The sequence below is a fragment of the Homo sapiens genome, chromosome 3 (genome assembly GCF_000001405.40).
Source record: "Homo sapiens chromosome 3, GRCh38.p14 Primary Assembly".
NCBI classification, from domain to species: domain Eukaryota; kingdom Metazoa; phylum Chordata; class Mammalia; order Primates; family Hominidae; genus Homo; species Homo sapiens.
The window spans coordinates 170,570,430-170,585,480 of record NC_000003.12 but is presented as its reverse complement, the minus strand read 5'-3'; the positions used below and the strand labels follow the sequence as shown (position 1 = coordinate 170,585,480).

Sequence of the window (15,051 nt, the reverse complement as noted above, 5' to 3'; positions counted from 1 at the left end):
CTCCGTTCTCCGCCTCGGACCGAGACCATGAAACGGAGACGCTTTTCCGGCCGCAGACTCCGGGGAGGTCGGGAGCAACGTCTGCCCTTTTACCTGGGAGCAAACTCCTCAAAGGGACTCCCGCCGAGCCCAGCACCCCGACCAGGATGGTGGCGCCCCGAGGGGCGTCTGTCCCCGGAGAGTGGTGACTCTCCCGGGAGCGGCGAAGAGGACGTGACGGGAGCGGTGTCCAGGGAAGCTCCCTGCCCAGAGCCGGCAGCCCCAGCAAGGGGAGCTCTCCTGCACTGCTTCAACCCTCAGTCTCCTCTCTTCTCCCATTCCAAAGCACATCAGCTCCCCTCTAATCCAAGAGGGCCAGGTTAGGGCTGCGTGGCCACGCGGGATGCAGCCCCCACCCTCCTTCTCTCTCCTGTGTCACCCTGCCCCCTCCCCAAATGAGTATTTTATATTGCGATTGAAGAGTGAGCAAAGCAAAGGCGAGAAGAGATGCAGGAAGGCTAGAGCAGCGGGGCTCGCTCCTGTTCTGGCACTCCTCATCCCCCCACCTGTGTGAAGCTCGTTTCCTTGAGATTTTGAGCGGAGACACTCAAAGGAACTGGCTCTGGCGAAGGGATCCCCGCCTGAGTGTCGGTGAACGTCACTGGCCCGAATTGCCCAAGGGCCGCAGGATGTCACCCTGCCTCCCCCTAGGTATAGGGTCTAGGAGAGCGCTGGGGGCAAGGTAGCTCTCCTCCTCCGACTGAGTGCAGGGAATGGCGCTGTCCGCGGTGCTGAAAGTTCTCAGAGGCTGGGTGCTAATACCGCCAGGGCCCACATTCCCTGCGAGCAGAAACTGCGTTAGAACCCTAAAGGGTTCTAAGCAAGCGACCTAGAGAAACAGGAGAAGAAGGGGCTTTGCCTTTCCCGGTTTTCTGCTTCCCCAGGACTCCGCTTGGGAAAAGGTTCCCGGCTTTCCTGAGTGGAAGAGCAGGAAGCGGGTGTCACTTCAGGATCCAGTTTTGCTAACTTCGGGAGCTTCCTCGTTCTACTTCCTATACCTGAGCAGTGAGACTTCCTGTCGGTAAAGTGTTGAAAGGCAGTTAGGGATGCTGTTTTGATAATAAACATTTCTGTGGCTTTCAGGAATCAGAGAATTGTTAGGCTACACAAAGGAGGGGCTTCATGGTTGTAGCTTTTTCCTCTTCTTAGAACCCTTCTTTCCCCACTGCATGTTATTTACATGCTCTAGATAAAGATCGCTAAGCAGCCCTGTATGTTTGTTTCTTTAGCTAGTCTTTTATATTATGGGCAAGATGGGGAAAGGATTGAGCCAATTTGGGGAGGCCTATTTGTACTGAACACCTCTATCTGCTGGGTAATAATATTTCATTTAAACTTCACAATAGCTGCCAACCAAAAGTATCACACAGAGAAGGAAACAGAAACTTGATTCCAGAGATTGGATTCAAAATCAGATCTATTTAACTCAAAGTCCAAGCCATTTTCATGCCTTCATTTTGGTATTTGGCTCTGAATAGCTGTTATTGGAGATTATAGCAGGAGAATGACAAAGGAGGGAGGCCTGCTCTTCTCTTTCACACACTCTCCTCTCTTCCAACCCTTTTCTCTTTAATCCGTTCACCCACTCACTGTCATGCACTCCCACCCTCCCAACTGCTTTTGCATGCTGCTTGAGATACCACTGTTCACACAACTTCAGCTCCAATATTATGGAAACAAGTTAGAGAACTAAACCAGCAGCCTTTTCTAAAAGAGTAGCAGGGCTTCAGGAAGTCTGGAGAACTAGAGTCCACATGTACTTTCATATTTAGAATTATACTGTTGAATTTTAGAACTAGAATAGCTTTGAATATCATTTAGCACCATCGTTTTACAAGAAAGAAAACTTGGAAACCAAAAGATGGTCATTAGTCTAAGTCACATGATTGAAAAATTAGAACCCAGTTAACTTGATTCCAGGCCCAGGGCCTTTCCCACTATTTCATGGTGTCTGAAATACTCTTCCATACTGCTTTCTTTGATTATCTTTGACTAAACGTCAGCATCAGTGAACTAAATTAAACAACATGCCAAAAATACAAACACTTAACATACAAGCATTCCTCTTACCTTTCTTCCAACTCCTTTGTCTTCCAGCTCTTTCCCCTCTGGTCCTACTATTCCAGTGTTGTCTAACCCAACATACCTGGGAGATATGACCCACCTTCCTCAGTAACAGTTTTCTCTGAAGCAGCAATTCACAAATGGGAATGGTAGTGTGTCATTTCTTTACTTGCCCTATCTTGTCTATATCTCCTCTTCTATGACCTATTCCCCAAAAAATAATTTTCCCAAAATTGGTTACCCTAAGCAACTGCCCATGTTCTCATAGGGACTGGGAAAAGGCCCTAATAAGACCTAAGGATTTTTATAAATAAAGATCATTATAAGTGCTAATATCTATGAAATGCTTATCATATGTGAGGCACTATGTGAAGTTATTTCATCAATCATTTTACTGAATTATCACAATTCTGTCAAGTAGGTGGCTCCACTAAAGATGGTCCTAGGATTCTAGTTCGCTCTAACATACAGCAGAACCTGATGTTCTGTTCATTTCCTCTTTCTTCTCTTTCCAGCTCATAGTAAAGTCTCATCTTCATCAATTGGATTTTTGTATTTAATTGATAGTTCCATCCTGCTCCAAAACATAGCATTTAGAAATTCAAATTCAGTTCAAATGACACTGTTTTGCTCTCTCATCTCTTAATATTTACCAAACATATTCTCCCCATTTGTTATCTCTTATTTAAAAATTCCCATATGGCTTCTTATTGATAATGTCAACATTCTGCTTCAAACCTTCTCTAGAGCCAATTAAGGTATAATTTGTAATTAAATACATAACTTCTATTGTACCTTCACTAGGTGATCTGTCAAGAATGCTATTGCTGAGGTGCTCTGGGCCCTGTGAACCAGAACCTTAAACTGTCTAGAACTGCTCTGTCCAACATGGTAGTTGCTAGCCACATGTAACTATTTATAATTAAATTTTAATTAAACTTTTTAAAATTAAAAATTTAGCCCCCCAGTCACACTAGTCATATTTCAAGTGCTCAATAACTCTATATGGCTAATGACAACTGTGTTGGACAGGGCAGATATCAGAAAATTTTTATCATTTAAGAAAGTTGTGTTGAAAAATGCTGCTTTAGACAGTACTAAACACACCCTCACAGCAACCAAGAACTAGGAACTGGGAAGAAGTAAGGACCTACTCTTCTTTGAATCTTCTGCCAAGAAAGAAAGAAAAAGCCACTTATGCCTAATACATCACCAGTAGCCCAAAGATACCTAGGACAATTAGGCTATGAAGGAGTGTGCATGTCTTACTTAAGGAGCTGGTAGCCTCTGGAGTTTGCTTCATATGAATTCTATGTTACTATAAAGTAAAATATTCCATGAATGAGGTTTGCTGGTTTCATGAATTTTGACTTAGATACAATCTGAAAGTTCCAATTCAAAATCCAAGTTTATAGATTACATGTATATGTAATAACATGTGTGTGTGTTTATCTTGTCTTAGTAATCATAGTATGATAGACATGGAAAGAATATAAGACTTGGAGTCAGTAGTACAGGTGTCACATACTACTTGGTGACATTATGAGGCCCTCTAGAGCTCCATTTCTCCATCTCTAAGATGTTGATGAGAATTGCCATAACTATCTCAAAGGACTATTGTAAAACTCAAAGTGTAGGTATACGAAAGTACTTTGTAAGGAGCATGATTGAATCTGCAATGGTTTATTATTTTATATAGATATGGTACAATGTACAAATAGGGTAGTTCAGGCTGAATGCATTTCTGAATGATTTTAATCTGATATGACTGTATTTTTGCCTTTGTGGTCATTTATTTCACTGAAAAGTGGAACGGTGAAGAAAAAATTTAGTTATTGAAATTTCTGATTGGTTAGATTCTATTAATTGAAATACCGTGCATTGTTTGTTGTTTAGTTTATTTGGTCCTGAACATTTTCTTCTCAGGATTAAAAAAAATAATAACTAGGAAATCTAAGTTGTTTGGAACAGCTTTTACCTTTTAACTAATAGTTTTTAAGTAATCATCAATAATGAACCCATCATGGTAATAGGGGTTCAGAAATAACAAAATACAAGCATTATGGATATTCCTCAGTGTGAGGGGGTGAGAGGGATAATTTTCAAAACATATTTTTACTAATTACAAATTGAAATGAGCTTCTATCCATTCTCATAGATCAATCAGAACAAGAATAATTCTATTTCATGCATTGATTAAACCAAAACAAAAGTGAAGGTCATTAACTTGACTGAATTATTGAGTTTGCATTAGGGATTCTAACCTTAAATAACAAGTCTTTATTCATTCTCTAAGTTGAAATCTGTTGGGGTCATTAGGAGAACCTTATGCATCTGGCTAACATTTACTCCCAAACCTGGCATCTATGACCTACTCCCGCACTTTGATCTGTGTATGCTATTTATGCGTCAAGTAAAACTGCTTTTCAGATGCAGCCATACCTTCTATAGTGGCTCACGATTTTGATACTTAAATATTTTTCTCTTATAACACAAAGATTAACACAGTGCTCAGATATTGTAGAAAATAAGCCTGGAAACAAAGCTATTCCATCAGATGTTTCTTCACTGTATTTATTAGGTTTTATCATCTTGAAAACTCAACGAAGTCACTTTATTTATTCATTCATTCATTAACAAAGCACCTGAGAATCAAGCTGAGTATGACCAAGGGCATGAGGTTTTATCTCCAGTTCCAGAGATCTAGTTTACCTTTGTTTAGAGTTAACAAAGGTATAGATGCTACCTTGTAAGATGCTCTGCCAGGTAAATAGTTGAGATATACACTTAGCCACTGTTTCTGGTCAAGCCTGCTGTCCTCAAGCCTTTGTTGCATATGGGACTATATTACTGAAGGAAAAATAAGCGAAGCTGTTAACTCTGGCCTCTAGTAGATGATGCTAGCTTTAACAATAAACATATGTTGTTGGGCGTCATGATTTATTCACTTCATTGGACTTGTTTACCTCTTGGAAAGACCTGGATTTTGGAAAGGGGAAAATGCCATTACCTTGGAGCTGAAAAGAGTTCTTCTCTGTCTGTAGCTTAAAGGATTTCTCTAATTGTAGATCCCAAGAGATAAAGAGAACTGACAATGTAGCTTTGAAACAAATCCTAATAGCATACAATCATCCATTTAATCAATAACATAGTTGAAGAATGTCCTATTTTGACACAAAAATGTTGTGGTTAAGGATGTTTGGAACACATGGATGATCAATAAATATTTGGTGAATTCAGACCATTGTTCCAGGTTAATTCATGCCATACACTCGTCTATCTCTACCAAGAATTCAGTATTCCCTATGGCATTTTCCTTTAGCAAATAAAACAGGAGGCAAACACAGTATATCAAATCTTACCCTAATAACCACACTTCTAGCCCTTCTCGGGGCATAAATAGTGATGGCCAAGATAGACTACTCCTGAGAACCGTGTCTTGCTGCTTCACCCAGAAAACAAAGCACAAATCAGCCCAAGGGCCTTGCATTTCACTGTGATGAGGCAACTTCAGAAACTCAAAGCTTAAATGGAGTTGTGTGTTCTTTTCCACTCTTATCTTGAAGAGATACCTGTCATTTCCTTCAGAAAGTATTTGGCTGGCCTTCATGATAGCAGCAGGCAATTGCTATTGTTCCTAAATTCAGAAGAAGCTTAGCTTAGAATGAAAGCACATATATTAATTAGAGGAGAACTAGCGACATTGCAGTCTGATGGTTTACAGAATATTATCCTTTTCCAGGAATAATAAGGCTTCCCTTTAACGGTTTTAACTGGTGATTACTGACAAAAATGAAAGAAAAACAGCTCATTCTATTCTAGCAAGTCAATAAGGAAACGCCTAGAATTAACTGATTCTTATTTGCCAAAGGCAAAATATTCCAACCCAATGAACAACAAATGATCAAGCTGGTTCTCATTTTCTCTTCATTTTAAAAAAATTTTTCCATGTTTTTGAAAAATAATCAGTAAATAAGAAACAATTGCACCCAGGTGTTTAAACATTCTGTTGACAAAATGGTCTTCAGAAATGGAAAGGCTTAATTGTTTGTTAGAGATTATACAACATATTATTATGTCAATATTTTATAACAATCACATAACTGAACTCTCTCACTTTAGAGAGAAATTGATGCTGGGAACACTCACCTGAGTTGATGTCAGAGGAATATGACTTGAGTCTTCTCTCTCTCAGGCAATTATAGAACCCACTCTGCATTTTTTAACATCATGCATCATTTCATTAGTCATGAAAACTTGTTTAGTCTATGAGTTTATCAAAGATTCAGGTTTATCTTTTCTCAAAGATTCAGGGAGTAGGAAAGAGTATGTGTTTGGATTTCAGATTATTTCCCTTTGTACCTCCAGGTGAAAGAACTACTGGTCAAGGATGGTCAGCAGGTAGAAATTTCAGGGGTGGAACTATAAGCCATAGAAAAAGATTCAAAACCTCAGCATCATCCATGTTGCAAGAACTTAGGCAAGGATTTAACTCTTCTTACTTTTTAATCTTCATCCCTAAAAGAAGTTATTTAGATTAAATAGTGTACAATATCCTGCAAGCCATAACATTCTATGGTTCGATGAAATAGGGCCAAGAGCTTGAATAATCCATTATTTGCCTCCTTAAGACCGAAGAATTAAACATAAATCAAGATTCTTATTTTTACATCATTATTTATCAGAAGTTCTGAATTTCATGCTAGTACCTTACCTGGAAACAATAATGATAATGATAGCTAATACTTATATACAATTACTATGACTTTATAAGGTTGGTAATGCTATCATCGCCATTTTACAGATGAGAAACCTGGATACTAAAGTAGTTAAATTACCTGCCCAATTTGACACAGGTAACAAGTTTGTGCTACCATGCTACACCGCCTCTATAAAAACCACAAATCTGACAGATAGATAGCTGATGTGTGCCATTTATAGCCACTTGACACACCAGCCAATTCTCTGGAGAATTTCTATTTTAGCTCAATTTTTTACTAGAAGAGCAACCAAGATGGTGAATAGAACTTCAGTCCTGTGTGTGGGAATCTACATTGTCTTTCTGTAAGATGGCTCTTGTGCTTTTGCAATTGATGTCATTGACCAATTGTTTACGTGATTCAGCATTGAATGTTGGTGCTGTGCAGGTGGCTGCATGTGGTGAGGACCACTCTTCTGCCTCTTCCCAGAATGTGTGGCCAGCCACACCACCAGAAATAGATGGATGCTGGTGCAGGATCAATCCAGCACCTTCTAATGCTATAAAGGTCAGCCCACCACATCTTTACTGTTCAGTAGAGTCTTCTAGCTTCTGCCTTTAGGTTTTTGACTCAGTGTAACAATCTAGACAGCTTTTACAGTAGAGAGGGAGAGCTCCCAGAGTGTCATTTCCTGGAGGTAGGCTTGGGTCAAGGCTAAGACTAAAACTTTCAAAATCATGTTGTGAAAATCGTTTTCTTCTCATTAATCCTATGTTAACAAATTAGTCATAAATACAATACACCACAGTACCCATCTGTTTCACTGTGTATTTCAATGTACTGAATATACAAATGGGCATTTAGCTCTTAATATGGTATATCTAACCAGCTGAGAATGCTCTGACAGTAGTCAAATATACATGTTTATTCTTTAGCTCTAGTTTCTGGCTTGTTAAACTAGCTACATATCCCATCAACACCAAGGCCAATTACGGAATACATAACTCTACTTCTTCCTCTGTGGTTTTCTTTTTTTTTTTTTTTTTTTTTTTTGAGACGGAGTCTCGCTCTGTCGCCCAGGCCGGACTGCGGACTGCAGTGGCGCAATCTCGGCTCACTGCAAGCTCTGCTTCCCGGGTTCACGCCATTCTCCTGCCTCAGCCTCCCGAGTAGCTGGGACTACAGGCGCCCGCCACCGCGCCCGGCTAAGTTTTTGTATTTTTAGTAGAGACGGGGTTTCACCTTGTTAGCCAGGATGGTCTCGATCTCCTGACCTCATGATCCACCCGCCTCGGCCTCCCAAAGTGCTGGGATTACAGGCGTGAGCCACCGCGCCCGGCCTCCTCTGTGGTTTTCTAGATACTCTGTGGGGAGCGGGATGGCCTAGGAGTCAGAAGATCTGCTTTCCAGACTCAGCTTTGAAATGTACTACCTGTGACACTTGGGCCAGCACCATTCACTACTTCAAGACTGAACTTCCTTACCTTTAAAATAGGGGTAATAGATCTTGCCCCTCACATTACAAATAGGGCCAGTGAGATGGCATTAATTAAAGCTCCTTGTTAACCATAGAGTTAGTCCAGAGGAAAGAGATGGGTTTTCCATCCTTTCAGTCTTTCCCAGCCAGAAATTACTCTCAAGCTGTTGATACCCAATTCTGAACCAGGGTTGACAGCTAAATCAATGTCTTCAAGGTTAAGAAGAGCTTGGATTTAAATTTGTAAATCTAGAAAATGGCACTTACAATAGGAGAGGCCTCCTGGTTTCTTCCAAATTAATGGTCCTCAACCTGAGGCAATGTCACCTCAATAAGGGGTATTTTATATTGTCACAGATACTGGAGGAGAGGGGAGTTACTACTGACTTTTGGTGGACTGGGATCTAGAATGTTAAATATCCTGCATTAGACAGAAAAATCCTGCAGAATAAAAAATGTCCTGTCCAAAATGCCAATAGCACTCCACCCCCACTGAAAAATACCGCTCTAAGTAATGTGCTGTTCCTGGTCCCTAATTCTCCAATTGATGCAGACAGAGAGCGTTTACTTTTCATCTCCACCCACAGGTGAAATCCAGCCATGCTCATGTGAGGTCTGTAGTAGTTATTGTTCAGAAGTATGACCAGACTTCCAGTAAGTTTACCAATAAGTAAAACAATGGGGTCAGAGATCAGTGGTTTTAAAATTAGCCCCCAGAAGCTCCTACAAAAAGCCTCCTCCAACCTCTGCAGGGGCAAAGATTCCCAGCAGGTTAATATGCCTATAATGTGAGAGCTGGCCTAAAGGTTGGCATTTAGGGATGCAAAATCAGTAAATCATGATTCTAAAATGACTATCTTTGCAATTTATTGAAGAAACATTGTAATATTCACTTGTTTTATGACAAGCATGGGCCTAGCTAGGCACTGGATATGAGACATAATCCCTGCCTCAAGTCACCAGTAATCTGAAAGTTCCACAGATGTAATCCCCACTAATTATGTATGCAACATGACACATGCTATAACATATTATGAGGGAGCCTCCAAGGAGAGACCAGGAAACAATTCACTTCCACAGAGGAAATTATAATTGAACAGTATCTTGAATGGTATATAATATTTTTTCAGGTGGATAAATGAGAGAGAAAGCTATTGTAGAAATGGGACCAGCATAAGCAAATGCTGAAGGTGTGAACAGAAATGATACAAGTGCAGGCTGACCTTATCTGGCTGGTGGGAGGTCATACTGGAAGGACTGAAGAAACTTGAATACAGATAGGTGGATGTATTTATTCAGCCAGGGGCTTATCCTTTGAACAGGGATTTTATGAGTATCTTAGGAATATCATTTGAATTCAGGGCTCATGGAGTCCAATCTTGTAACTAGAAGAAATCTCAGAAATCACCCTACCATGCTCTTTTCCCTATGTATTACAGTTGAAGTAGTTAAAACCCAGAGATATTGAGTGACTTGCCCAAAGTCAGCTAGTAAATTTGTGGCAGTATAAGAGCTAGAACCTAGTCCCTCCTCTCAGTTCATAGCATTTTGTCCTGCTCTGTGCTGCCTTTGGGAATTTTAGCCATCAATTGAGCATAACCCAATGTAACACACAAAGTGACTACTAAATATTCATGAAGCTCAAGTTTTCCATTGTTCACTATGAAGCTATACCATTGTTCCTTAATTACAAGCAGGTGATAGATAAGACCCTGCTTCTACATTCTGAGCTCCTTCTACATACAGCATTCTCTTCAGAAACACAGACAGACAGTACACTAACACATGAGCATGACATCCTTTGCCTGCCACACACATCCTCCCCTGCCTCCTCATTTCAAACTGCCAGAGATTATGGAGTCACAGCCTGAACAGAAGGCATCTTAATCTCTGGTGGTTCTGTAAATAATATGCTGTTCATGCTTGCATATAAATTATCACAGTCTCTCTATTTTCTAGATGAGGGAGGCTTCAGAAAGATGAAGCTGCCTGCACACAGAGCACATAAGAGATAGGATTTCAGACTCCAGAGTTTCAGCCCTCTTTGTAACAGGGTTGAATTTTTCCCTCATCTACATGCTCCTAATAATTTATCCAGGCTTATGGTCTTAAATTTCACCTTATAGCCAAATTAATCTAGTCTCTGTATATTTAGGTTTCTAAAATCAGTTACTTCTTACTTCCCTTTCTCTCTAACCACTTTTCCTCCACCCTTCATTCAATAAGCATTTAATAGAAATCACCTAAGCTAATCCATTCAGTTGATGAGAATAGAAACTGAGACCCAGAGAGGTGAAGCCACTTGCCCAGGTTTGCTCAGTTAAAAGCAGTACGGTGACTAGATTCCCTGACTCCCAGTCCAGGGCTTTGCCCTTCACACTATACTGCTATTTCCCAAGGATAAATAACATGGCATTTCCCACTCTCAGGCTCCCTCACTCCTTGCACAACCCCACAGGATGGATAGAAATGACTGATTGCATGTGCTCTGAGGTTCATTCCAGGACCTTTTCTAGAATTCCCACAACTTGTTATCCTTCATGCTGTATTGGCCCATCTATCACATTAAGAAGCTGGTTAGGGAAGAGTTTGACATACTTTCTGGTCTAGGATATTTATGATCAATGCCACCACTCAGGTAGTGATCACCATAGGAAACAGTGTGCTCAGGAAGAAAAAGGGCAGAGTCCATGGCTCCCATCATTTGAGAATAAGGCAAAGCTCACCCAGAGTTTACTGTAAGTGGCAGGATATTAGATTCATAATCCCAGAGACCAGGCAATTGGGCAATTAGATGGATTTAAGCAAGATTGGGAGTGGCCAAGAAAGTGAAAAAAGACAACTGCCAAACCACTTCTGCTTCAGGGGCAGGGTATTTTGCCTGGATTGATCACCATGATGCATTTCATTACTGTAGACAAAGATCACATTGATAAAAGACTTTTTTAAATCAATTGAACTAAAATTTTCCATTTATACATAACTTCTCAGGAATCGTTTTAAGACAAAACCAGATGGTATTTCAGTAAAGATTATATTGAAAAGAGAAGCAAGTAAGAGAGGAAAGAAACCCCAGAACTAGCTTCTCAGGTAGGGCTTTGTAGGGTCACAATTGTCTCACAGGCTGATCAGGCTAATTAGGTACAGAAGCTTAATTTTATCAGTTTTATCAAGAGTGATCCAGCTCTGAAGAATCTAGCCATGCTCCCCAGGTCCCAAGAGACTGATTTGTTAGCTAGATGCCAATATAGCCACATACAATAGAAGATGCTTCTAAGTGTGGCCCAGGCTATTTCCTTCCTAATAGCAGGACCATGAGAAAACCAAATGAGTGGTCAAAGATAACCTGTGGGCACAGTGTCAGGATTAATGGAGTGGGACAGACAGTCTTGTGAAATGTGCCATTCAGGCTGCAACAGAGACAAGAGAACTCTTCCAAACTCCACCCAAGAACACTTTTCAGGTTACCAGAATAGTTGTGTCCTTCAAAAACAGGGTCTTGTTCTCTCTGTTTCGCTAGTGGTGAAGAAACTGGCAAATTATTTTGGGAAAAGATGGAGACTTTATCTAGTCTTTATGCAGCCCCCATCTTCCTTAGGGTATTATTCTAGGCATGTTATAATACTCAACTCATAGCCTATCTTACTTGTGTCAGTGACATCTTGTCCAAAGCCCCTTACCAAATCTTTGAACTCCTGGGCCTAATTCTCTGCTAAGGCAATGAAGATAGATCAGCAAAATCATTATCATTATTCACGTACTTGTATAAGATCCATTACGATTAGTCTGCTTCTGAGAAAGTTGTTTAATTGTGGATGAACTGTACAGATGGTGAGAATCATGGTCTCAGGTGGCATGGCACTTGAATCTCATATTAGTGACAATCTTTTGTTGGTCTCCTTTGGAGAGTTCTGGTAGATGCCACTGATTAACCATCAATAATAAATAAACCATCCAAGTGGTTGGGTTATTTCTGTAAGGGACACATCTCTTGTATTTTGTGCTAATTCTGTTTGTGTCATTTCAGAGGGCACTATGATCTGGCCTTGCTCTGAGTGCACCTGAGTCTGGTTTATCCTTGTCAGTAATCTCCATGTGTGGACCCTGACATTTGAAACTGAATCTGTTAGTCACTCTCACTACAGAAAACAGTCATGTGGCGACTATGACTCATCTACAAAATGCTGAAGGAATAGACTCCCAAGAGGTTTTTTTTAAAAATCACGCAACATTGCTACCTCTAAAAGAGGCCAAACAACCATTTTGAATATTTTTATTTTCCCCTTGAGCTGACTGGTTATCCTGATTCTGAGTAGGAACAAACTACACAGACAGTTTGGGATTCATTTTAGAGTCTGTCCTAGTCACAAAGACTTTTGACACACTTTCTATTCCAGCATCACAATGCAGAGGAAGAAAATATCTGAATGAGTAGAGACTGTCGTGCCAGAAATAAATTCCTAATATAGACAACAGAAATATGCCAGTAGAGAATTTAACTATCAAAACAAAAACAAGAATTCCCTGTTTCAATACTCTTAGTGAATAGCCTCTGTTCTTCCTTTCTGCCCCCAAGTCTATTTCAACCTACAGTTATAAATAAACACTCTGATCCCATTACAGCACATTAAGAATCTAGAGAAAACTTGTCATTTGAGTACTATCATCTCTTTACACATATGATTCCAATATAGCAACTTATTGAGTGCTCTTCTTAAAGTCAAGAATAATTTGACAGCTATATCATAATACTTATAATAATAGTAGCAATCACATTTACTCATTTAATCATATAAAGTAGATATTAATATCCTCATTTTACAGATGAGGATTATAAAATTTGAATGACTGGCCCAAGTTCTCACAGCCAGTGAAGGTTAGAGTCAAGATTCAAAGACCATGCCATCTGACACCATGATCCTCACCATCTATACAGTCCATCTGCAATTTAAAAATTCTCTCAGAAGCTGATCAATCCTAATGGATCTTATACAAGTGCATGGATAATAAGAATGACTTTGCAGGTCTATCTTCATTGCCTTAGCAGAGAATTAGGCCCAGGAGTTCACAGATTTGGTATGGGACTTTGGACAAGTCTTACTTTTTCTTTCTTTCTTTCTTTTTTTTTTTTTTTTTTTTTGAGACAGAGTCTCCCTCTATTGCCCAGGCTGAAGTGCAGTGGCACAGTCTTGGCTCTCTGCAACCTCCATTTCCTGGGCTCAAGTGATTCTCCTGCCTCAGCCTCCTGAGTAGTTGGGACTACAGGCGTGCACCACCATGCCCAGCTAGTTTTTTTGTATTTTTAGTAGAGATGGGGTTTCACCATATTGGCCAGGCTGGTCTCAAGCCCATGACCTTGTGATCTGCCTGCCTTGGCCTCCCAAAGTGCTGGGATTACAGGCATGAGCCAACGTGCCTGGCCAAGTCTTACTTTTTCTAGGACTGTCACTACATCTAAGAAAGAAATAATAGCTTTTTATTCATTTAGTTATTCATTAATTCATTCAACAAACATACTAAAAACTGAAGCTATAATGGGAGAAAAACAGACTAGGAAGCATTAATAAAGATAGGAACCATTTTCTTGAGTAATGTTGCTAAACAATATTGTTGCTAAAATAAAAACAATATGAAGTCCCAATTGCCTCAGGTATGTGGAAGATTATGTTCAAGATTTATTGTTTTGGTTTTAGTTTTCTTCATCAGTGAAGTGACTTGAATTAGTCTCACGTAACTGTCAAGGAAACAAAATTACAGGCCCTAATGACCAACATAATATAACTTACTGCTTACAAAAACAAAGGCCTAGATCCTCAAGGCTCCTGTGAGTGGTTTGTGAAAGACAGATTTGCCCTAAACTGTCAGCAATACACACTACATCTCTAGACTTAAATTAATATTCTAGAAGTTCAAGATGTATCTACATGTGCCAGGAACTCATTTCTTTCAGTGAAGGCTCAGATTGTTTGATTACCCCAAAGCAAGAGCATAGTACAGGAAGACTAATAAGCTGTAATGGGAGAACTGATGGCAGAAGGGATATTTATTAAGTAAAGCAGAATGGGGGTTTTGAAAGGAAGGCAAGTAATTTGAAAGGCCATTTTGTTTAGTTTAAGAGAGTTCTAAAGTTTAATCTGGATGATGGACTGGAGTATATTAAGGAAATGTTGAGTGAGAGAATGAAAAAGAAAATTAAGTCAACAATAAAAGAAGGGGTGAGGAACAAAAAAATCACCTGTTGGGTACAATGCACACTATTTGGGTGATGGGTGCACTAAAAGCCCAGACCTCACCACTACACAATTTATCCATGTAACCAAAACCACTTGTACTCCTAAAGCTATTGGGGTGGGTGGGGGGTGGTTTGGAAAAAAAGTATGGGAAAAAGAGAAAAGAAATGACATTAATTTTTAGATACTTTTTATCCTTGGGAAAGTTAGGATAGAAGGCATAGGGGCATCTGCTGAGCAGTACAAAGTGAAAATGCATCTCATTCCCCACAATGAAATACTTTACCAGTGTCCGGGCTTCGGAGTGAGAAGTACATGTAAATAAATAGTTGTCTCTTTCTCAGTTTTGAATCATTCCATTTGTTTCCAATTTTCAGAAATCACTTACAAGAGATATCATCATTAAGCCATTAACTAATGGATCCCAACCGCACCAAGCCTAGAAGCCTAGTTTATATACAGAAAACTATTTGGACCCTCTTTTTATTTTATTTTATTTTATTTTATTTTATTTTATTTTTTGAGACAGGGTCTCACTCTG

General features: G+C 39.8%; 1 protein-coding gene and 1 long non-coding RNA gene across 3 annotated transcripts in view, besides 1 other annotated feature; one reads left to right on the top strand and one right to left on the bottom strand.

Moving 5' to 3' along the window:
• SLC7A14 (solute carrier family 7 member 14) overlaps positions 1–15,051 on the top strand; it is a 126,528-nt gene that overhangs the window by 595 nt on the left and 110,882 nt on the right. The window lies entirely within an intron of this gene.
• Positions 1–15,051, bottom strand: part of SLC7A14-AS1 (SLC7A14 antisense RNA 1) — a 287,921-nt gene that overhangs the window by 169,725 nt on the left and 103,145 nt on the right. The window lies entirely within an intron of this gene.
• Positions 627–921: a silencer, noted in NCBI's record as "tiled region #6075; HepG2 Repressive non-DNase unmatched - State 10:DNaseD, and K562 Repressive non-DNase unmatched - State 10:DNaseD". NCBI's record gives its function as "represses a minimal TATA promoter and a strong SV40 promoter by Sharpr-MPRA in HepG2 and K562 cells {active_cell/tissue: HepG2 | K562}" and the evidence as "EXISTENCE:reporter gene assay evidence [ECO:0000049][PMID:27701403]".